At 41.8% G+C, this 25235-nt stretch overlaps 1 protein-coding gene across 2 annotated transcripts in view, besides 1 other annotated feature; it reads left to right on the plus strand.

Moving 5' to 3' along the window:
- Positions 1–16503, plus strand: part of GATA6 (GATA binding protein 6) — a 32940-nt gene extending 16437 nt beyond the window's left edge. For both annotated transcript variants that reach the window (NM_005257.6, XM_047437483.1), the window contains exon 7: positions 14631–16503. In NM_005257.6, the coding sequence (NP_005248.2) occupies positions 14631–14798 (168 nt within the window). In that variant the 3' untranslated portion in view covers positions 14799–16503. The remainder of the gene's footprint in view (positions 1–14630) is intronic.
- Positions 7997–8545: an enhancer, noted in NCBI's record as "VISTA enhancer hs502". NCBI's record gives its function as "enhancer in: heart[8/11]" and the evidence as "EXISTENCE:transgenic organism evidence [ECO:0001131][PMID:17130149]".

Raw genomic sequence — 25235 nt, forward strand, 5'->3', positions numbered from 1 at the left:
ATTTTGTGAAATGCTGTGGGTGAAGAAAATATCAGATCCACATAGCAAGGTTGTATCTGGTGTTTACAAAGTATATGTATTACATACACAGCACCGAGGTTGGCTTGGAGTTTAAGCCTCCTAAGGTAATGCGTCCACCCCACGGATCTCCAGTGCTCCCTGTGACTGACTGGTAGAAATTAGTAGTGCAGGGTGACCCTCGTTTGATGGGGCCACGGAACTACAAAGCAAAGGGCGATCTTAGGCACCCTCCCAGCAGAAGGTGGAACTGGGGGCCACATATCCCTCCATTTAGAGATGTAAGTAGCAGTATCACTGCCTTTCTTTAATGACTGTGAGTTATAGCAAGGAAGTAAAAAACTGTTCCAGAGGCCCACATGAAACATGCTGTTTACTTTAATTCCCCACTGAAAAATCAGTTGTAGGAGATCACCGGTAGGCATTCCCAGCAGGCTTATTGTAAGTCCTGGGACATGACAGGAACAGGGTTCTGACCTGCCTTTCACGTGGCCATTTAAGTGATGGCACCAGGACCTTAGCATGACACAGAGTCCTGAGCTCTCTTGGCCAGGACGAAAGGAGCCACAGGAGCTGAGTATTGTGGAAGGGGTCTATCGTGGTTGTCTGCTTCTGGGAGAGGGGGCTCCAGGGCTCCCCTCCCCTAGCAGGAATGAAGGTGTGGGCATAATTCCTAGTGCACGGCATTCTTCCAGGATAAGTTGTCCTAATGCCACGAAAATTTTTGTGCTGCTCTGAAGCCTCATGTCTTAGCTTTATATACTTGTTAATCTGTGCCTTCATGAGACCTGTGTCTGGGCAAAAAGGAGACATTCCTTCAGATAAGAGTCAGCAAGTCGATGACCTTGCCACCTTATGACTCAGTTTCTCTTGGTTATAGGCTGTGCATGTGCTGGAGGCACAGGGAGGGCAGTGTGTTTCTGTCTGAAATCAGGAGGACTCACGGTCATACAGCCCTGCTTAAAATATTGCCTATTTTTTTCTTTTGAAATTATTTTTGTTTATTAAAAATGTATGTTAAACTTAAATTTTTGATAAATGGTTGCTTTCTGTGGCAAAAATAGTCTTTCTTTCTGGCTAAGAATTTTCTTATCCATGCAGATTTACTAAAAAATGTATATTTAGTTGATCTAAATAGATATCAGTTTTTCTTTGGGCTGGGTGCGGTGGCTCACCCCTTTAATCCCAGCACTTTGGGAGGCTGAGGTGGGTTGATCACCTGAGGTCAGGAGTTTGAGACCAGCCTGACCAACATGGAGAAACCCCGTCTCTACTAAAAATACAAACTTAGCCAGGCACGGTGGCGCATGCCTGTAATCCCAGCTACTCTGGAGGCTGAGGCAAGAGAATCTCTTGAACCTGGGAGTTGCAGGTTGCAGTGAGCTGAGATTGCACCATTGCACCCCAGCCTGGGCAACAAGAGCAAAACTCTGTCTCAGAAAAAAAAAAAAATTTTTTTTCTTTGGCTTTTATTCTCTATGGATTGTAAGAATACTAAAATCTTTTTTTTCTTGAATTCCGTTTATTGACTGAATTGTATTTTATAGTTTTTTTTGGTTGTTATTTAGGAGAGAAACATGGTAATGTTCTGTTTCTGCAATAAGATTTAATAAGTAGTCCACAAATGGTCCTACTCCTCCTATTTCTCCTCCTATAACTCAAAATTTGTAAAACTGGAGGATACTTTATAGCTCAATCCCCAAATTTTATAGATAAAAAGTTTTTTTCTTAATTTCTTTTGTAATAGGAGGGATTAACTTGGAGATGAAATTAGCAATAATATCTGAAAATGGCAGCTACAGAAAAAAAGAAAAAAAAATTAGCAATAAGACAATGTCTGAGAACAAGGAGTCACTGAACATATTTTGCCTGCCTAAAAATAGTTTCTATAAATAATTACTTTAAAAATTAGGCCAGGTGCAGTGGCTCACGCCTGTAATCCCAGTTCTTTGGGAGACTGAGGCTGGAGGATCACTTGAGACTAGGAGTTTGAGATCAGCCTGGGCAACATAGCAAGATTTCTGTCTCTATTTCTAGTTTAAAAAAAAAATGAAAAAAAAGTAAACCCTATTTAAGTTAATATTAAAACTACCAATATAATATTGAAATCATCATTAAACATAAAGTGTTGAAGTTAAATGGAGAGAGAAATATATATGACCAGCCCTTGCTTTACTGGTCTTTGTTCCATTTGAGTAAAACAAAGTGCCACATCTGGAATTGTTTAAAACATGGAGGTGGTAGGGGTGGGTAGAGAGAGACAGGTATAGATGTAGATCTTACTACTGGTCAGATTTGGACGTGCTTTAAAGGAGTGATAACTAGAGTTGGAGATGGCTCCGCAGAGTAGAGGAAATTAAAATTAGTTAGGATTTTTGCAGGGGAAAAATTGGGATAGAGGTATCCAGGAAAGAAGAAGGCATAGGAATCTTTGGAGCTGAAGGGAAATAGTTAGTTCATTGTGACTGGAGTGTAGGGGGTAAGAAGCCAAAGGCAGGAAGTGAGGCTGGTAGAACGGGTGGAAAGTAGATACTTGAAAATATTTCAAATCAACGATGGACTTTATTTAAATCCTGCTTCGGTGACAAATGTGTTTTCTGTCTGTACACTGGAGTCCAACAATTAGGACCTTCTTACTGGAGCGTTCTGTATTTTGATAATTGATGTAAACAAATGTAGCATGCTCCTGCTTGTCAAGTTTACAAGCAGAGTTTCCTCCTCACAATTAGGGAGGAAAAACATCTGCCAGCTGATTCTATGCGCTGACCTTCTTTAGGCCTGTACTGTAATTTCTCTGCCTCCAGGGATCCTGGGGGCAGGATGGTTGGAGTGGCTGCCTGGCTACCTCTTCTAATGGAAACATATTAGACATGGTGTATTAGGGATAGGAAATGTGTTTCCTCACCTTTGTGGGGCATTGCTGGTGATATATAACTTCCACAAAGAGAGGTGGACAATAGGCTGAGAGATAGAGACTTAGGTTCCTCGCCAGCTGCATCTGGGCCTGGATGGGTGGGCCTTAACCACTCTTTTGGTCTGTTTCTTGCTAGTAAATAGGCGTCATCGTTCCCGTCCCCTGTGTGCTTCTGGGACACTGTGTGCTTAGCTAGACCTATTTCCCTACTGTAGTCACTCCTGAGCTGCGTGGTCGTTTGAAGGAGTTAAGCACCCATAAGTGCTTGTGGCCAACAGCAGTGATCTAGAGACTGACTCAAGTTAAGATTATTTGATGTGCTCTATAAGGCCTCTGAAGAAAGCTTAGGCAGGTAAATATTTTAAATTGTTTTCATGGATTTTATTTCATATATAATATTTGCATCCTGTGGTGGAAATAGAAAAACACCTTAGTAGGTCCTGTAGCTTACTATGCATTTTCCAGTGCAGGGGGGTTCTTTATTAGCAGATTTACACTCCACTGTCTTTTTCTTCAAGTAATGGAATTTTTTTTTGATTTACTGTGCACTATGGTTGGTCACAAAATTATAGTTCCTGTGAAAGAGCTGAAAGGAACATTTGTGAAGGACTTATGCTGTGCTTATACTGTTAAGTTGCTCAGAGGAAAGTATGAAGGCGAGCTCTGATGCAAGAGCCTGCTGGGGCTGGAGCAGAAAATTAGTGCTTCATTTTTAACTTGAATATGCCACAGAGCTTCTAGAGGACTCGAGAGCCAAACAGTGGTGGATTGGTCTTCGATTTTCTCATAGTGATCTTGCTTTGAGGAAGTTTTTCCCTTTCCTAATACTCACTCACTTATAAGATAGTGAACATAGGGAGGCAGGAAATTAGTTTCTATCAGGTACCTTTTATGTGCCAGGTGTTTTAGATACATTTTATTTTTTACTCCTCCTTCTAAGTGAGATGCAGAAGGTAAAGAACAGTTCCAAGGTCACGTGTCAAATTGAGACGCGTGGTTTCACGTTGGCCGCAGGTCTGGCTGATGCGGTCAGTGTTGTTGCCACTACAGCGTGTTAGATTAATATGCGATATTAGTTCATTTCTTTGAAATCTTCAGAGAGAAGAAAGAATGTTTTCTTAAAGAAATTGGACTAGTTTGATTAATAATTTTAGCATCACATATCCTCCCACTGAAACAGGTGGGAAAACTGTGAGAAGTTATTTGCTCTTGACCAAGAATGTATTTAAGACAGTTAATGCAAATTTTCTTATCAATGTTATACTTAGAAATCAAATGTGTAATGGTACTAAGAATATGGCAGTTGGGTAACATTAAGTTAAAAAAAAAGTAGTAAAAATTACTTTTGTTGACATACCTAATGTGGTTATAACAAGGTTCTTTTAAGAGAAACACAAGATTGCCATACTGAAATCCTTCTAATGCTGCGATTTAAATCCATACACAAACAAATGCTGTTTTGGAACTTTTCAGAATGTTAAAATTGTCTTCAATGAATGTTTATGAAGAAATTACTGAAAAAGCATTTCTTAATAGTGAAGTGCCTGTTTTTTTTTTCAGTCTATCGTCCAAAACACTCTTTTCTAAATGAGTAGCAAAGGGGTTAAAAAATCATTAATCTCCCAAAGGGTCTGTGAGAGAGTTATGTGGTTAGGTATTATTATTGCCTCATTTATAAACCAAGATCCGGAGTGACTCCTTAAGGTCACAAAACAAGCCAGTATTGAAGCCGGGACTGGAACCGACGTCTCCTGCCTCCCAGTCCAGGGCTGTTACCACTCCCAGGGAGTTGACCAATCATCACAGTTATTAATATCCCACTTGCCACATGCTACAAGCCATGAACATAAATATTTTGTTGGCATTTTATCTTCATGCTCCCTATGTGCCAGGCTCCCTTTCTTTCTATGTTCACAGCCCCTTCTAATAACTCACGTTCTTGTCTGACCACATTGGCCTTTGCGTGAAAGTCACACGTCACCCCGGCAGGGAATGTTCAAGCATGCGGATTTGCATACTTTCATTCTGATCTCAAGGCTTTTTCTAGACTTCCTTTTTTTTTTTTTTTAAATCTCGTGTGTGTGTGTGTGTGTGTGTGTGTGTGTGTGTGTGTGTGACAGGGAGGATGGTAAGAAGTAGTTTAAAAATGCATTGTGTGCTACATCAATATCCAATGGCTTTGTACATTAGGAAACAGTAAAGCTTTAAATAGTTTGTAACATATGTCCACATAATTTATCACAGAATTGTGGTTTATTTAATAAGTGACTCATTATCACTATCTGATAGCCAGAATACTGGATAAAGAATAAGTGTGGGCAGAAGTTATTCACCATTTCTTATAGCCTCATCCCAGAATACAGCTCTTCTTTGCAAATTACAGATTCTTTGCAGTTTTCTCCCACCCGCCCCCCCAACGCCTCTATAAGAATATACAAAATTGTCAGAAAACATGAAATAATGTTACGGGAAAACATGGCCAAATTTAAGAAATCTGGCTTAGATTGCTCTGAAAGGTTATTGCTAAATGAATCTTCGAAGAAAACGAATTCCTTTACTGGAACAAAAGTAATTTATTATGCATTTCATGGGTGTCTGCCAGAAGAGTTACTAGCAGTATGAAGATCCAGTGGATATGAATTAAGTACAATCTGTTAGTTCTGTTCATGTTTAGACCTACCTGTTAATTTTCTCTGAAATTTTAATAATTTAAAAAAGCATCTCCATAGACAGGTGTTGGCAATGTGACAATTCACCACTCAGCTACCCATCACATCAGGCTTTTTTAAAGGCCCAGTACTCAGAATTTGTGAGACTGAGCACAAAGACATTATTTTATTGACCTCATATTTTAAGAATGATTTGGACAAATACATAACTAGGCATTGATTCTAATGTCCTGTTGGGGTCTTACGAGTAAACGGTTCCAAGTCAACATCTGACGATGCTTAAATCATGATCCGACTTGATGGTGTGCTGCCTGTTTTGGTTGTTGGCCTGGCACGGTTTCACCAGAGCTGGGCCACATGCTGCAGAACCATATTTTTATTTTATTAAACACAAGTATTTTACATTTAAAGCTCTCATTAAATTTAGTTGCTTGATTCGTGGTGAAGCCTGAATATGGTCAAAAGTTTATTCTGGGGGTTCACGGATTAGCAGCTGGGAGGAAACAGATTCCAGCAGCCAGGCGCTAGCTCCAGCTCTGTCTGTGTGAGTATAGCAAGCTGCCAAGGTTCTGTAAAGCCTCTGTTTTCCTCCTTCTACTAAAGGGGAAAAGTAATTCCTACCATCTGGTCCTTAGGAGTATTGTGTAGAGTGAGTGGGAGATGCCTGGAGACCTCTTTGAAGTTTAAGAAGAATAGCACTACTTAAATACGGGTCTTGGAAGTTAATAGTAATCAGCTTTATTTGCGTGGCATTTTTTTTCATCCCAAGATATTAGAATAAGATCCTCACTTTCTTAATGGGGAAATTTAGAGACGTAGAGTTATTGTGTTAAGAAAGTAACCACATTTTAGAGATTTGTATTTCACTGATAGCAAATTTTTTATTCCTTCTGATACTTAGTACTTTCCTAATGCTTTTTGTGGTTTAAGTGCATTGTAAATGCTTCTTGGTATGTTTTCTGTAATTAAGATGGAGAGATTAAGATGCTCATCCATCTCCTGAAAAGTCAGTTTTGTTATAAAAATTAAGATCATAATTCACCAGGTTTTAAATCTTGCCTCAGGATTCTGTCCCACTTAATTTGAAGATTAGAATAGTGTAATTCATTCTGATTCATTTAGAAGATAAGCTTTTTCTTTAGGGTCCTCATTGACTTCAAGTTGTGGGACAAACCCTCTCCCTTGCAATTTATATTTGTACATGAGTATTTTGGTGATAATCCCAGAGTACTTATAAAGTTTGGCGCCTTTCTTCACCACAACATGCTTGCTGTTGAGTGTGCACAGATACATAAAGCAATTTGCTCTTTTGTCCAGAATAGATTATGTGCATAGAATTGCTTTCGTCTTCTTGAAAAGGGCAGCATCCCTTGGTGTGGCTATAACCTTGCCTACTCAGGCCTAGAAGGGGCGAGAGGGGTATGGGTTGGGGCAGAGTGGGGGAGCAGCCGGTGAAATTTCCAGTAAGGAATTTGTTTGCCGAATTAAATATACAAAACTATTCTGCTGAATAGTTAGGTCATCAGTTGAGGTGACGGTGACTCTCTCTCTAGAGAAAAGGTGTCCATGTTCCTTTGTTTTATTAAGCTGTTAAGAATTCGAGAGTTTCATTGTGATTGGTTTTCACATGTCCTGGTGGAGACAGAATTTGTGTGTGTTCATGTGTCTTTCATGTGTCACCTTCTAAACTATTACTGTCACTTTGTATCTGGTCCTCTGTTACCTCCAGCCAAACTGAAATGATCGTAGTTTATATAGTGGAAGTTACGATTTGCAGGAAAGCATTTCCCCTTTGTTGGAATTTATACAAAGTTTTTAATTCCTCTTTGGAGGAAGGCAGCTATAAAGCACCACAGGAGTCTAACCTAGAGGTTACAAAAGCAGAGAAGAGCTTTGGCAGTGAGGGACGGCTGGCTTCCCCTCACACAAGAAAAAGCCGTAAGCACAGTCTCACTCAGATGTGTAGGAAGGACGGATCAGAGGCTGGGGGAGCCGACAGTCTGCCTTGCAGTGAAGGAGGCATGTGATCACCATCAAAGTCTTCTGCTCTGGGAAGGATCACACAGTCGTCCTTCAGCCTGCCTGGGGCGCAGTGTTTTCTTTCCTCAGACCGAAACTGCATGAAGAGAGATTCCAGCAAGGAAGATAGAGCATGCCCCGTACACTCCTCTCTGGTTTTCTTCCTCAAAGGAAATTTATGCATGTAATCCACAAGCCGAAGAACCCATGTTTTTCTTTGGAAAAGGCTACGCCCTTTCAGGGTTTCCTTTTCTCGGCTGTGTTGCCTTCCCATCAGAAGCTGTCTCTTGCCCTCCCCATTATGGGATGTGCGAAATGAAGGAAAACAGAGACACTGCTGGGCATTTGTCTCCATGAGTTGATCCAATCAGAAATCTTTGACTTTTCAGATATGTGTCCAAAAATGAGTGAAGGCTCCTCACAGGAAAAAAAAAAAAAAATTCTAGGTGATCTAAAGATGAACTGTGGCTACTTCTCAGGCTAGCGGATATTTTCCATGTCCCAATCTGTAGCAGCCCAAGCTCTCCCTGAAGTCATTTACTCCTTTAAGAGGGAGTTTTCCAGCCCAGCTGCTCTGCCTGTCTCCCACCTAACCCGGCCAGCTTTCAGTGCTAAGCCCAGGCTGGGTCTGGCCCTGATAACACATTCTTTCAACAGGAAGTGCCTCCATTTTCAGTTGTCTGTGGGAGGGTGGAGGGCAGATAAGCCTTGAATGGAAACACAGAGCCGATTTCTGCTCCACCCTCCTTGCACTTTGATCAGGGAGAGAGCAGGGACCTCCGCCTGGCCTGTGCTGCCTGCCGAAAGGAGGGAGGATGGTTGAGCTGTGGGCATTCCGGAGCTCTCCCTCCCTTTTGTTCAGGAACGTTTGTTTAGGTTGGTCTAGGTTAGTGAAGTGCCTGCTTTTGCAGGGTTGTGATGTCTGCGATCTGAACTAAAGTCCTTTGAAGGGTTGAATTATTTGTGGGAAAATATATCAACCAATTGAAATTTATACGTGTGTTTGTATGTGTGTGTATTAGGTCCAGGATCATAGTATATTTTTCTCTGATTTCCCCCCTCCGCCCCCCCCTCCCAACACACACACATCGTGTTGATTCTCAGTAGGCATCTCTTGACTATCATCAGTGAGGGAAAGGGACTTAAAAGATGAACAATAACAGGACAAAGCCAGGCTTCTTAAGAAGAGTAGCTGTGCCAACTCTGAACGCCTTCTACTTTTAGAATATTGGTTTAGAGGCCAGGCACGGTGGCTCATGCCTGTAATCCCAGTACTTTGGGAGGTCGAGGCAGGCGGATCACTTGAGGTCAGGAGTTCGAGATCAGCCTGGCCAATATGGTGAAACCCTAACTCTACTAAAAATACAAAAATTAGCCGAGTGTAGTGGTGGGCGCCTGTAATCCCAGCTACTCTGGAGACTGAGGCAGGAGACTCACTTGAACTCGGGAGGCGGAGGTTGTAGTGAGCCGAGATACCACCACTGCACTCCAGCCTGGGCGACAGAGTGAGAGAATATCGGTTTTGAGAGCTGAAGTTACGCTGATGCATGGAGCTGACGTGTTGATTGTTTTAACTTGTATAGAACTGTGAGATTCACATGTGCGTGGCTGGCCAGGCCCTGGCCTGTGCCAGGTGGCAGGGAGATGATTTCAGGGGCGGATGGGGGCCCTTCTGACCCGCCCTCCTGTTAGTGCCTCGACTCTGGTTCCCTCCTATTTTTTCAAGCCACTTTCTGATCCCATGAAGGTTGGCTTGTCCCTCAAGTGCCTTGTGTTTCTGGTACTCATGTCTTCTATTCATCCCCAAAGTTATTAGGTTGGTGCAAAAGTAATTGTGGGTTTTGTCATTACTTTCAATGCCAAAAACTGCAATTACTTTGGCAACAACCTAAATAGATTTACTATGCAATTCAATTTAAGTATTCAAAGAAAAATATTCAAAGAAAGGTATAGATGGCTAATAGACTTGGCCCTCTCAGCTAGTCCCCTGTTTCTCCCCTCCTCCCAGGGGACCTTTGTAATACTTACACATGTGCATGGATAAATTGCAGTTATGACGTGTAATTCATATCTTGCTGTTTTTCACTTAACATGGTATTACAGGATTTTTTCCATTTTGCTCCATGATCTTATTATTTTTAATAATTGCATAATAGTTCATTGAGCGGATGTGCCCTGCTTTTCTAAACCGTTCCCATATTATTAGACATTAGATTGTTTCTATAGTTTCTACTATTAGAAGTAACCTTGCAACGGTTGGCTTCCTTTGCGGAGCCTTTCCCTTCTTTTGAATTATTTCCTTATAATACATTTCCAGAAGTGAAATTATAGGGCGAAGTAGGGTCTAAACTTCTGGATGGCTCTTGACATTGCAGCTAACTGCCTTCTGTAAGGTGGGTGTACCAGAATTTAGCTCCGCCAGCCATGAGTGAGGGGACTGGTGTTACCATGTAAGTAACATCAGCCTTTCTTTGCAGTATTTCATGTTTAAATATTATTATATGTACACATAAAATAAGGCTACCAAGCATTGGGCACAAATACTTGCCCCATTTTTTTTCTGACAGGCTCAGCTATTGCTTTTAATTGCAAATGAGCAGATTTATTTCTAGGAGTGCATCACTCATGGAATTTGAGGTCTGTCTGCCCTTTGATAGCAGGACTCTTGGCCTGCCAAATAGCTTAACATTTTGTCTGAAAAAAAGACAGGTTATTTTCGCCAATTGCTTTTGGGATTGTTATTCAGGTGTAAGAATAACATTCAGGGTGTTAACGTTTCTTTAATGTGGGTTGTTGAAAAAGAGTCAGTGAGTCACCAGGTGTGGTAGCTCGTGCCTGTGATCCCAGCACTTTGGGAGGCTGAGGCAGGTGGATCCCTTGAGCTCAGGAGTTTGAGAACAGCCTAGGCAACATGGTGAAACCCCATCTTTACAAAAAATACAAAAATTAGCTGGGCATGGTGGCACATGCTTGTGGTCCCAGTTATTCGAGAGGCTGAGATGGGAGGATCTCTTCAGCCCAGGAGGTGGAGGTTGCAGTGAGCCAAGATCACACCCAGTGCACTCCAGCCTGGATGACAGAGCAAGACCCTGTCTCAAAAATAAAAAATAAAATAAAAAAGAGAAAGAGTCATGAGACTTTTGAATGGCTACAGAACACTTTGATTTATTTTTGCGAAGAACTGTCAGTGACAGTTTGAATAGGGTCATTCTGGAGGTGGTTCTCTTTGAGCTCCAACTGTGTTCCGACTGCTTCTGCCCCTGCCTGGTGATGGGGTAACTTGCTTGGGCTGAAGGATAGAATGAGGAGAATAAATTAGATCCAAGCCTCTTAACCTTAACAATAATAATTAGATAACAAGAGTAGCTTATACTGACATAATCTTTACTGTTCTCAGACACTGTTACAAGGGCTTTACATATATTAGCCAATTCTTTTTTTTTTTTTTTTTGAGATGGAGTTTCACTTTTGTTGCCCAGACTGGAGTGCAATGGTGCAATCTCGGCTCACTGCAACCTGCCTCAGCCTTCTGAGTAGCTGGGATTACAAGCATGCTCCACCTTGCTCGGCTAATTTTTTTGTGTCAGTAGAGATGAGGTTTCACCATGTTGGTCAGGCTGGTCTCAAACTCCTGACCTAAGGTGATCCACCTGCCTCGGCCTCTCTAAAGTGCAGGGATTGCAGGCGTGGGCCACCGCGCCTGGCCTAGCCAATTTAATTCTTGCAATAATCTTATGGCATAGGTGCCTCTTTTTATCCCACTTTATAGGTGTGGAAACTGAGGCACACAAAGCTGTATGTCAGGCTTCTGGTTTACCTCTCCCACATGGTCTGTTCACTCTTTTGCTTCATCCTTCTGTTTTTCAGCTGGCTTTTCTTCTGAACAGGCCAGGTGACCACCTCTCTTCATCCGCCCTGCCTCCCATTTTGAACATCCTTCTCTCGCCAATAACAATAGCTTCCCTTTACGGAATGTTTAACATGGCAAGGCACCTTGCCTTCGCTTTTACAAACGTTAGCTCATTTAATTGTCGCAACCATCCCTGAGGTGGGAAATGTGAGGACCCAGGCACAGAGGAGGCTCAGGGGGGACTGCACTCAGCAGGGGACTGAATCAGGACAGGACTTGAGAGTCCAAGCTGCTTCCCCTCCTTCTCATACTCCTGTGTGGGCTGCCTTTGGTTCCTTGCCCAGGAGTCCTTGCCCTCTGCTATTCCTTTTCTGACTCTTGGTCTACCTTCCTGTCTCAGCCACTCATTTGTTGTTCATGATAAGCAGCCAACAGTCGACTTTCTAATGTGTATGGATCCTGGCTCCCCACAAAGCCTGGGAGCTCCTGGGGCAGTTGACTATCTTTCAGGCTCCTGATCTAGTGTCTGGCTGTCAGTTGTTGCTTTGCCAATGTTTCTTTTTTTCTTCTCTTTCTTTCTTTTTTTTTTTTTAATTTTTACTTTTTAGAGACAGGGTCTTGCTCTGTCCCTTAGGCTGGAGTGCAGTGATGCAATCGTAGCTCACTGCAGCCTTCATCACCTAGACTCAAGCAATCCTTCCATCTCGGCTCCCCAAATAGCTGGGACTACATGCCCAGCTAACTTTTGTATTTTTTGTAGAGACGGGGTCTCCCAATGTTGCCCAGGCTGGTCTCAAATTCCTGGGCTTAAGTAATCCTCCCTCCTCGGCTTCCCAAAGTGTTGGGATTAAAGGCACGAGCCACCGTGCCCAGCCTGCTTATGCTTCTTGTTGCTGGCTGTGGTGGTGGTGACAGATCCCTCTGCTGTCTTGGCACTTCCCTGCCATTTGAGATGGGCTATTTCCTGGGCCAGTTCAGGAACCCTCTCCATTTCAGAAAATAACACTTGTTGCGGTGAAGTCAGATTTAGTCAGAGGCATATGCTGATGTGCCTGTTTTCGAATAAGAAAATCAATGCAAAGTTGGACGTGAGATGTATCATTATAAGGAAGCTCACTCTAATAGTTCCTTTCTAAATAAATAATTCTTTTGTAATTGAATATCATCCTTTTGCTTATTTCTTTGAGGGTTAAATCTGGATCCACACTGGATTTGCTTCTGGTGGAGTCTCTGGAATTAAGGGCTAAAGTTAATCACTATGTTTATAAGTATAACCAAGTTTATGGCATTCAGTTTGTTGGACAGGATTATTTTAGCTTTTTCAGAATTGCCACAAGAATCCATCTGAAGCTTTAGACATCTCACTGATTTTTGTGAAATTTGCTTTTTAATGCACCTAAAACCCTCAGTTTAAGTCTTTACATTTGTGTTATATAAACAAAAGTTTGGGTGTGGGGCCAGTGTTGTTGCTGGATTTTCATAAAACCTCATTTCTGCTGGGAAAGGGAAGGAGTGGTTACCTGTGGAGGGGTCGGGTTTGGTCTGTCTGGTTGGGAGGAAGGAAGTTTGGGTGCTTAGACTCAGAGGGCTTGCTCGCCTGAAGTCCTGCCTCCCAGCCTCATGCCCTTATGGTGAGGGTTGAGAGCAAACCAGATCTTGTTGGAAAACGAGTAGAGTTGGACCTCATTCACTTGCAGGCCGTGGAGGCTCGGCACACTTCCTTTCTGTTCCGCCTGTGTCTGGTGCCAGAGAAATGCTGTTTTAAGGATTTAATGGGATTATGTATGTAAAAAAGAAATTCTGTGAAAAGTACACAATGTCCTACCTCTGTCAAATAACAAGTATCTGGTAATTTATAGAATGGAGCCCTGAAAGCTTGGAAGGAATAAGAGCTCCTGAACTTTTAGAAGGAAAAAGGTGATTTTAAAAAGTACATGATTATGGCGAAATTTTTCAAAAAGCTTCTCAAAAGCAACTTTATTCAAACTGTTGTCTAAACAGATTTTAGTTATTTTGGTTTGATTTTACTAAATTATATGATGTTTCCTATTTGGCCTTTTTCATGTGAATGGGAGGAATGGGTGGAACAGGGCAAAGGTGAACTTGTGCTTCAAGAAATCATTGTGGCCAGGCACAGTGGCTCACGCCTGTAATCCCAGCACTCTGGGAGGCCCAGGCAAGCAGATCACCTGAGGTCAGGAGTTTGAGACCAGCCTGGCCAACATGGTGAAACCCCGTCTCTACTAAAAATACAAAAATTAGCCAGGTGTGGTGGTGCATGCCTGTAATCCCAGCTACTCGGGAGGCTGAGGCAGGAGAATCACTTGAACTCAGGAGATGGAGGTTGCACTGAGCTGAGATCGTGCCACTGTACTCCAGCCTGGGAGACAGTGAGACTCTGTTTCAAAAAAAAAAAAAAAAAAAAAAAGAAAGAAATCATTGCCATGATCATGGCAGATAGAGGATGTTAGCATTTTCTTTATAACGTGGTCTGCTTCAGACATGGACTGTTCTTGTAAAGAATTAAGGTAAATGAGGTAGATTTTAAAGCCTGTATATGCATAGGTTTATTTTCCATGAAGTCAATGTTCAAAAATTTCACTGATCAGGGAATGTTGAACTGTGCAGCTTTTCTAAAAAGTCTAAAAAGACTTTGCCATCACTGGATAAGCCTTGTTAGAGTGTGTGTGTGTGTGTGTGTGTGTGCGCGCGCACGCATGCGTGCGCTCTGCATTTTCTCTTTGGAAATGATCAGGTTGTGTGTGCATCATTAATGCCTATTCACCCACACAGTGAGGTTTGTTTCACAGTCAGAGATCTTAGAGCTTGGCACTTTTTACAAATAGGATTTCTTCAGTTCCCCTTCCTTTTGTCCAGCTTTGCATCTTGCCAGTGGCTCCTGCCCTGAGTTCTAAAGTTTCGAAGGCTTAAGTGGCCAGGGTCAGGTCAGTGGCACTGTGTGCAATGCAGGGAAAGGCCCCCACTTGCTGGGGGCAGGGGATAGTAACGCCGGCTTCATTTCTCCTGCCCTGGGTCTGCCCAGGAGCAGCTCTGGCCCTGGCTGCACAGACCCGTTCATTAGCTCCCATGTATTTCACTACCAGGATTGTAACCGCTTCTCACCTTCTCGTCTCTCCTCTGTGTCCCCCTCTTCTGCCAGGCGGGTGCCCCGGTGATGACTGGTGCGGGAGAGAGCACCAATCCCGAGAACAGCGAGCTCAAGTATTCGGGTCAAGATGGGCTCTACATAGGCGTCAGTCTCGCCTCGCCGGCCGAAGTCACGTCCTCCGTGCGACCGGATTCCTGGTGCGCCCTGGCCCTGGCCTGAGCCCACGCCGCCAGGAGGCAGGGAGGGCTCCGCCGCGGGCCTCACTCCACTCGTGTCTGCTTTTGTGCAGCGGTCCAGACAGTGGCGACTGCGCTGACAGAACGTGATTCTCGTGCCTTTATTTTGAAAGAGATGTTTTTCCCAAGAGGCTTGCTGAAAGAGTGAGAGAAGATGGAAGGGAAGGGCCAGTGCAACTGGGCGCTTGGGCCACTCCAGCCAGCCCGCCTCCGGGGCGGACCCTGCTCCACTTCCAGAAGCCAGGACTAGGACCTGGGCCTTGCCTGCTATGGAATATTGAGAGAGATTTTTTAAAAAAGATTTTGCATTTTGTCCAAAATCATGTGCTTCTTCTGATCAATTTTGGTTGTTCCAGAATTTCTTCATACCTTTTCCACATCCAGATTTCATGTGCGTTCATGGAGAAGATCACTTGAGGCCATTTGGTACACATCTCTGGAGGCTGAGTCGGTTCATGAGGTCTCTTATCAAAAATATTACTCAGTTTGCAAGACTGCATTGTAACTTTAACATACACTGTGACTGACGTTTCTCAAAGTTCATATTGTGTGGCTGATCTGAAGTCAGTCGGAATTTGTAAACAGGGTAGCAAACAAGATATTTTTCTTCCATGTATACAATAATTTTTTTAAAAAGTGCAATTTGCGTTGCAGCAATCAGTGTTAAATCATTTGCATAAGATTTAACAGCATTTTTTATAATGAATGTAAACATTTTAACTTAATGGTACTTAAAATAATTTAAAAGAAAAATGTTAACTTAGACATTCTTATGCTTCTTTTACAACTACATCCCATTTTATATTTCCAATTGTTAAAGAAAAATATTTCAAGAACAAATCTTCTCTCAGGAAAATTGCCTTTCTCTATTTGTTAAGAATTTTTATACAAGAACACCAATATACCCCCTTTATTTTACTGTGGAATATGTGCTGGAAAAATTGCAACAACACTTTACTACCTAACGGATAGCATTTGTAAATACTCTAGGTATCTGTAAACACTCTGATGAAGTCTGTATAGTGTGACTAACCCACAGGCAGGTTGGTTTACATTAATTTTTTTTTTTGAATGGGATGTCCTATGGAAACCTATTTCACCAGAGTTTTAAAAATAAAAAGGGTATTGTTTTGTCTTCTGTACAGTGAGTTCCTTCCCTTTTCAAAGCTTTCTTTTTATGCTGTATGTGACTATAGATATTCATATAAAACAAGTGCACGTGAAGTTTGCAAAATGCTTTAAGGCCTTCCTTTCAAAGCATAGTCCTTTTGGAGCCGTTTTGTACCTTTTATACCTTGGCTTATTTGAAGTTGACACATGGGGTTAGTTACTACTCTCCATGTGCATTGGGGACAGTTTTTATAAGTGGGAAGGACTCAGTATTATTATATTTGAGATGATAAGCATTTTGTTTGGGAACAATGCTTAAAAATATTCCAGAAAGTTCAGATTTTTTTTCTTTGTGAATGAAATATATTCTGGCCCACGAACAGGGCGATTTCCTTTCAGTTTTTTCCTTTTGCAACGTGCCTTGAAGTCTCAAAGCTCACCTGAGGTTGCAGACGTTACCCCCAACAGAAGATAGGTAGAAATGATTCCAGTGGCCTCTTTGTATTTTCTTCATTGTTGAGTAGATTTCAGGAAATCAGGAGGTGTTTCACAATACAGAATGATGGCCTTTAACTGTGGCTCCCTGAGTGTACAGTATTTTTTTACTTCTTTTCATGCACTTATTACAGTCATTCTATGGGGTTCAGTCTGAATCTTTCAAGAGAAGGAATGTCTTCCTTAGTCCTGGTGAATGCTACTCTATAGAGGGACAGTGTCCATAGCCAGTGTGTGTGTGTGTGTGTGTTTCTGGGTAATTCAGTAAGGCCCACGTGCACCCTGATATCATAAGGTGGGCCAGAACAATGGTTAAGAGTGTTGGGTATGCAGGCAGATCACTAGGCTTCAATTCCCTGCTTGGCCGTGGATAAGCTCTGTGACCTTGGGCAAGTTATCCAGCTCTCATCTTTCTAATATAAAATAAAGGCAAATAGTATATAAATCACAGGATTAAGTGAGATAGTCCATGCCAAGTGCTTAGCACAATACCTGGCACATATTAAGTACTAACTTGACTTTGAAAGAGAGTGGCATGATTTGCAACATAGATCCTTTGAATAATGTCTGACTACCTGGAATATCAGAAGTTTATGGTCTGTAAGAGTGATGTCCTGTGGGTCACCTGTGCTTCTTCAACAAGGCCAAGAAGAGTGAAATGAAAGACTCCCTCTAATCCAGGGGGTTGCAGAAATGGAGGGAGGATGCATGAGAGCTGATTGTTTTATAATAGAACAAGGCTGTTCTGACAACAGAAGAAAATTATTATCCCCACGAACTGATGTCTGTTTTCCTCCCTCCTTTTATGGTTCTCATTACTTTGAGTGCTTTTTGGTGGGTTGGGAGTTGTTAAAGTTAATATGGTTTGATTGGAAAATGAATTTTTCTTTTTGGGGCTTCCAAATGACCCTTTTTCTGGGATAATCTCAAATATTGCTCCTTCCAATTCTAAAAAGAATTCTAGTTTTTATGAAACAAATTACAGTGGGCAGAAGACAGAGGGGGCTTCTTGTAGCCTGTCCTAACACAATGAACTCCACTATCTGTTTTTAAATGATTACTTTCTTACCTATGATTGCATAAAGAAGTTTGTTAAATTTGCTCCAAATACACAATTTCAGCACTCCTCTCCCAAAGTATGACATGTGCAACTGAACATGACCCAATCATTTCTCAAAAGGGAATGCATTCAAATAGATGCTGCACCTCAGCTTAAAGAATCCCCAGACCGTATATCGTGGACTGGAGAATTTATGTCTTCTGTCACACATGGCTGATTTGAGGCCATCTTAAATAAGTGAAGGCTCTGTCTGGGGTCTCTTTTCAGGGTCACTTAATGTTGTTTCCTGGTGCTTATGGGAGGGTCAGGAAAGCAAAGGGAACCATTCATTTCCCAGTGCAAATAAATTAACTTCTTGCTCATGGGAAATGTTTTTCACAGTCCTTGGAAATTTGATGTAATTTCAGATCACAGATAAATTGGCTGCTTTGCTGGGAGGGCAACCCAGCGAGTCTTCAATGCTGTGCCAGATTCCAGGGTGAGTTCAGGTTGGAGCAGTGTAGTGGGGAGAAAGGTGGCAGGCAGAAGCAAATATTTTCAGAATCAGGCAGTGCTGGCTTATTAAGATGCTTCTCTCTCTCTCTCTCTCTCTCTCTCTCTCTCCCTCCCTCCCTCTCTCTCTCCCTCTCTCTCTCTCTCCCCCTCCCTCCCTCCCTCCCTCTCTCTCCCTCCCTCCCTCTCTCTCTCTTTCTTTTCTTTTTCTTTCTTTCTCCCTTCCTTCCTTCCCTTCCCTTCCTCCCTTCCTTCTTCCCTTCCCTTCCCCTTCCTTCCTTCCTTTCTTTCTCTTTCTTTCTTTCTTTCTTTCGCTCTCTCTTCCTCCCTCCCTCTCTTTCTCTCTCTTTCTTTTTCTTTCTTTCCTTCTTTCTTTCTTTCTTTTTCTTTCTTTCTCCCTTCCCTTCCCTTCCCTTCCCCTCTCCTCCCCTCCCCCCCTCTCTTTCTTTCTTCTTTCTTTCTTTCTTTTTTTCTTTCTTTCTTTGAGACAAAGTCTGGCTGTGTCACCCAGGCTGGAGAGCAGTGGCACAATCATAGCTCACTTGCAGCCTCAACTTTCTGGGCTCAAGTGATCCTTCCCCCTCAGCCTCCCAAAGTGCTAGTATTATAGGCGTGAGCCACTGCACCTGGCTAAAATGCATTTTGTTTCTGGGTTGAAATACTAGCAAGTCAGTGTGGCAATACTAGTTATCTTCTGTTGCTTGGGAGCTCTAATTGGCAGTCAGATATGCTTTGATTATTTTAAATGGGAAACATATTAATAAACTTGCTAGACCAAATCTTTCAGAATAGGGTCTGTGGGAAAAAATGTGGTACCTACAGGTCTGGCTGCTTGAGGCTCCTGGATGGATTCTGTGTGGCTGAACCTTCAGCAGCTGCATTCTGAGAAGGCCACTTCGCTTATGACCTTCTGGTGGGGCTGGGATCAGGCAGGAGAAGGTGATAGACATCAGTAGGACAGGCAGAAGAGGAGTCAAAGGGTGTTTTCAGTTGGTTCAACTTCAAGATAAAGGATGCCAGAAAGTCTTAGTTTATAGGGACTTTGGATAAATATATTGTGGTTGATAGTTCCAAATTGCTTCTAAGGAAAGTTAGGACGTTGCAGGTGCGTGTCTGCACCTCTGAGACTCATGTCAGAGCAAGCACCCATGCTCCTCTGAATATTCTCCAGCATATTCCAAGTCTGCACTAGGGAACCAGCGTGACGACGGGTGCTTCACTGCTCTTGCCGCCTGGTAGCTGTTACAGGGAAGTGACCATTACACAGTTGATGTCACTATTTTGGCTCAAGAGATACTTATTTTGCTTGGTGGCTTTTTTTTTTTTTTTTTTAAAGAAAGAACCTTTTAAAAATGACTAAAATATAGTGATTAAAGAATGTTTAATGAGGAGAGGTGCTTATATTTCAGTTATCAGTGGTCTGTCTGTCAAAATAATCATCTACATATCCTATAGCTTTGGGGCAAGTTGTTTGCTCTCTCTGGATCTCAGTAGCCAAAAAATGGCGAGATCTGGCAGTTGGGGTCTAGAAGTTCCCTTCTATCTGTGTTTACATCCCACAGTCCCATGGGCAGACTGTATGCAAGGTGATGGCAGGTCTGTGGCTGAGTTTGAGGGGCTCGCAGGGACCCTCTGTGAGTAAGGAGGCTGGTAGATTTACAATCTCCTCTCTTCCTGTCTCCTCCCCACCTCAGATCTGGTCTCTGGAGGCCAAGTCCTCCCATAACCTTAAGCCATAGAGGGTGAGAGTTGCAGTCATATTCATGAACCCAGGGGCTTAGTAAGGGCTGCCACTGCTCCCTAACACTGAACCTGTTTGGTCTGTGTCCCCCATATGAAACTGAGACAGCGATACGAATCCAGACCGGAAAATGGAAAAGTCTGGCATTGGAGCAGTCCGCAGAACAAGGAAAAAACAGCTTTGCTTTGCTTGGCCCATTGCTTCAGTATCTTATAGTTGGTTTTCTATTTCTTGGAAGCAATCAACATTTCATTGTTGTTTGCCTTCTGTGTCTTCTCTTTAGCTACTACACAGTTTTCCTCTCTGTCTCATCACTCTCTTCCAGGGTTTTTACCCTTACTTTTGTGAATTCTATTTCTTTAATGCTCCAAGACTGGTCGGAGATAGGAACAACACATATTTATATAGCACTATGTGCCATTTTCTATGCAAAATGCCTCACATATACCCATTTATCTAATCCTCATACCAAGTAAATGGGGTGGTACTATTCCCATCTTAGGGATGTGTCTACGGAGGCACAGAGAAGTTAAGTCACTTGCCCAAGTTTGCACTGTGGCAGAGCTAGGATTTGAACCCCTGCAGTGTGGCTCCAGAGCACATGCTCCTAATCACTACATCATGTTGTCTTTTCATCTTGATTTAAAGGCAAAAAAATAGGATGGGCACGGCGGCCCACATCTGTAATCCCAGCATTTTGGGAGGCTTAGGCGGGTGGATCACCTGAGGTCAGGAGTTCAAGACCAGCCTGGCCAACATGGTGAAACCCCGTCTCTACTAAAAATACAAAAGTTAGCCGGGCGTTATGGTGCATGCCTGTAATCCCAGCTATTTGGGAGGCTGGGGCAGGAGAATCACTTGAACCTGGGAGGCAGAGGTTGCAGTGAGCCGAGATCGTGCCACTGGACTCCAGCCTGGGCAACAGAGTAAGACTCTGTCTCAAAAAATAAAATAAAATAAAATAAAATAAAAAAGGTGAAGAAATAGAAGAACACAGAAGGAAGCCATCGCTGTCTGAGAGCAGAGACTATGCTTTTTCTTTCTCCGCTCGCATCTCAGAAATACACAAGTATCATTTGCAACACAGGTATGCCTAGGTTGAAGAAATTGAGTAAACATGCATATTTCTCGCAGTTAGTTCTTTCTTTAGAACATAGAAGAGAGTGCCTAGCTGTTAGCTGGAAAGTTTAGAGGTATCATTCTATTTTTGGAGTGAGTCCCTTCCCCTTTTCTTGTAACTTCAAGTGCAGCTTATTATGCTCTTATCTAGCTCAAAAGATTAGGGTAAAGCATTTTGTAAAGTGTAAAAAAGCTGGTGAAATGATGAACAGTGGTTAAAACTGAACATGAGAGGGAACAAGGAATACCTTGTGGTGTAAAATCTCTGTGCTTAGCTGTGCCAAAGAATTTTTTTCAGGAAAACTTGCACAAGATCTTGGCAGTGGTGTCTTGGGCTTTATCTTTTTAAGTAAGTGTTCATTACTGCTTACATCATTGTTGCTATTATTATTTTGATAAGTGTGCATTGCCAAGGATGCTCTGTGTCAGGGGTTCTCCAACTCCCATGTGCACGAGAATCACACACAGGGCTTGTGAAAATCGCAGAGTCCATAACTCCCCCAGAGAACTGGATTCTGCAGGTCTTGTCTTGGAAGCTGCAATTTTGGCCTTTGCATTAATTAAAATTTCTTGGCTAGTACAAAATCACAAAGTTGTAAGTTAGAATGCACTAAAAAAAATTGTTCTTTTCACCCCTCTACCTCAGTCAGTCAGTTCCTCTCCCAGATGTTACTTCCTTCTTTTTCTCTTTCTTCCTTTCCTTTCCTTCTTTCTTTTCTTTTCTTTTTCTCCTTCTCCTCCTCCTCCTCCTTCTTCTTCTTTCATTTCTTTCCTTTCTTTCCCTTCCTTCCTTCCCCCCTTTTTTTTTTTCGCTAGAGTCTCCCTCAGTCGCCCAGACTGGAGTGCAGTGGCGTGATTTTGGCTCACTGCAACCTCCACCTGCCAGGTTCAAGTGATTCTCCTGCTTCAGCCTCCCCAGTAGCTGGGACTACAAGCATGCACCGCTGCACCCAGCTAATTTTTGTATTTTTAGTAAAGATGGGGCTTCTCCATGTTGGTCAGGCTGGTCTTGAACTCCTGACCGCAAGTGATCTGTCGGCTAGGCCTCCCGAAGTGCTGGGATTACAGGCGTGAGCCACCGCGCCTAACCATAACTTCTTATTTCTTGCATGGATTGTATGCATTGACTAGGGACACACAATATATTCCAGTTTTTTGACATATAGGATAGCGCACTATACACATTGCTTTGCATTTTGCTTTTTTCACTTAGCATATCTGGGTAGGTCATTATTTAATCAGTGCCATATTTAAGTACATTTGTTTCCAGCCTTTGGTTTTTTTGAGTAATGCTGCAATTAATATCCCTTATCTGTGTCATTTCACGCAGGTGCAAATATACCTGTAAAATGAATTTCTGGAAGCAGCATTACTGACTCAAGGGTATCTACTTTTCATTTTGATAGATATTGCCAAATTGCTCTCACAGAGGTTTCCCCAATTTGTACTCCCACCAGCAATGGACAAGAGTGTTTTTTCTTTTTCACACAAGTCTGGTGTCAAACATTCTGATCTTGTCAGTCTTGATTCTCTGAGTTTTGTTTTGCATTTCTCTTATTGTGAGCGAAGTCGAACATATTTTCCTATGATTAGGAGCCATGTGTAATTCCTTTTATGTGAACTTTTTGCCCATCTCTGTCCATTTTCTTTACTTATTTTTTCTATTGGGTTATCAGTCTCATTGATTTGAGAAGTTCTTCGCATGTTAAGGAAAGCAGCCCTTTGTCTGAAATATACTTGAAATATATATACATATATTCTGGCTTTTTGTTTTACTTTGTTTATACTTTTTAAAAAGTCATGATGATCTTTTCTTTCATAAAGTAATTCAATTTATTGGTCTTTTCTTTTATGACTTTGGAGTTTTGTATAATATTAGGAAGGCCTTCCCCACCATTAAGATGATTTTTTTAAAATCCCGTGTTTTCTTCTAGTATTTTTATGGTTTTATTTTTGAGGTTTGCATTGTTTTTTAAATCTGGAACTTTTGTTGTTGGTTGTTGTAACATGTAGAATATATATTCAACATTTGTCCAAATGGCAACCTTATTGTCACAGCATCATTTCCTGAAAAATCCATTTCCCTCCCACTGATTGAAAATAGAAAGTCAAAATTATATAAATTCTCATATGTATATGTACTCTTTTATAAATTCTTATGTGGATATATATTTAATATAAATTTACATATACATTTGGGTCTATTTCTATCTATTTTGTACCAATGATATGTTTATATATGTGTCAATCTCATACTTTTTTTTGATTATTATATAAGCATGCCTCACTTAGCGACAAGAATACTTTCTGAGAAGTACATCAGGCAATTTCATCATTGTGTGAACATCACAGAGTGTGGTTACATAAATTTAGATGGTTTAGCCTACCACATACCTAGGCTATAATGATATAGCCTATGGCTCTTAGGCTACAAACTTGTACAGCATGTGACTCTACTGAATACTGTATGCAACTGTAACACAATGGTAAGTATTTATGTATCTAAACATATCCAAACTTAGATAATGTACAGTAAAAATACAGTATTATCATTTTATGGGACCACCTTCATATATATGCAGTCCATTTTTGACCAAAATGTCATTGTGTGGTGCATGACTATACTTTGCATGTATTTTACTGTTTAGAAGGCCAGCTCCTTTTCATTGATCTTATTTTTTAAATAAGAATTTGATCACTATTCTTGCTTACTTGTTTTTCCACATAAACTTTAGAATTAGCTTGTTCCTTTTCAAAAAAATCCTGTTGGTATTTTTATTGGAATAGTATTAAAATTTTAGATTATCTTAGGGAGAATTAATATCTTAATTTTATTAAGTCTTCCTGTCCAAGATGAAGTATGTCTTTTTTGTTTGTTAAAATTTTTTTTTCTGTGTCCCTCATAAGAATTTTAACCTTTTCTTCCTGTAGATCTTGTGCATGTTTCTGGTTAAGTTTATTCTTAGGTGTTCAATACTTTTTGATGTTAGTTTATTCTAATGGATTGTCATGTTCATTAAGAGTATAGTAAGCCTCTTTCCCAGAACCATTTAAAATTCTCATATTTTTTTTCGGTTGATTCTCTTGTGTTTTCTGAGAGAATATGCAGTTTCTATTTGTACTGCTGGTGGTTCAGGTGTTGGTGGAAACACTTTTCATGGTGTTGTCTGATTAAGGAAATCTAGGTACCTCACACTGCATTTATTCACTTAAATCATCAATTCATATAACTTTAGAGATGGAAGAGACTTGACTGAGGTCCAGCTGAGGAAACTGAGTCTCAGAAAGGTTGGGTTGTGGTTCGTCAGTATAGAGCTCAGGTTTCCAGGCTCGGGGATCCATGACCTTGGTGCTGTGGGCTAGGCTGAGAGGTCCCTGAAGGAAATGCAAGAACCAAACATTGTGAGCAAAAGCTTGGACTTTGGCAGAGGCTATAACTTCTTTTTACTCTGAGTAATGCTTCATTAATCGGTTTAGGAATTAACAAGATACTGAGACTTGGGCCAGTATGGGTTTTCAAAGATTGCATGTGTCTCCAAACACCACCTCTGAGTTCCTTCCAGGGAGTAGCCCACATGACCATTGGTCTCCAGTGAATCACCAGGCCACATTTGCTGAAGTAAATGGAAGCATTGCGAGAGCAGAAAATCAGGACAGACACCTATACTTGCTAACCCAAACAACCGCCCTTTCTGAGCCACTGGAGATCAGTTATCACCAAATGGACAGATACACTCGGCAAAGTTTTTGCAGGCTTCACAGCTTGTAAATAAGAGACTGCATTCTTCATGCTCCCTCTTGTTGAATCTGGCAGAGGGAAGACCTCTGGCTCTAATCAGCTGGGCAATGACCAGTAGCTGGGCTGGCAGGAAAGAGTGATGACTCCATTTGAATAAACTTTGTGAACCCACTATAGTTAATTCAGAGGACCCATATACTAAGAACACAGGGCTTCTTATCCATGGAAAATCATCCTGGGAACACCGGTTGCTTGTTACTTATAATTTATAATGGCATACCAAATACAAATTGGCCTGTGTGGAATACATTGGCATAGATTTAATAATATTTAACATTTCTATAATTCAACATTCTGTTCATTCTTTCTTATATTCTTTTTTTTCTCTTTTTTGCCATGGAGTCTCACTGTGTCACCCAGGCTGGCGCTATCTTGGCTCACTGCAACCTCCGCCTCCCGGGTTCAAGTGATTCTCTTGCCTCAGCCTCCGAGTAGCTGGGACTATAGGCGTGTGCTACCACGCCTGGCTAATTTTTGTATTTTTAGTAGAGATGGGGGGTTCATCACATTGGCCAGGCTGGTCTCGAACTCCTGACCTCAGGTGATTCACCCGCCTGGGCCTCCCAAAATGTTGGGATTACAGGTGTGAGCCACTGCACCCGGC

This window comes from Homo sapiens, chromosome 18, assembly GCF_000001405.40.
Source record: "Homo sapiens chromosome 18, GRCh38.p14 Primary Assembly".
In the NCBI taxonomy this organism is placed as follows: Eukaryota; Metazoa; Chordata; class Mammalia; order Primates; family Hominidae; genus Homo; species Homo sapiens.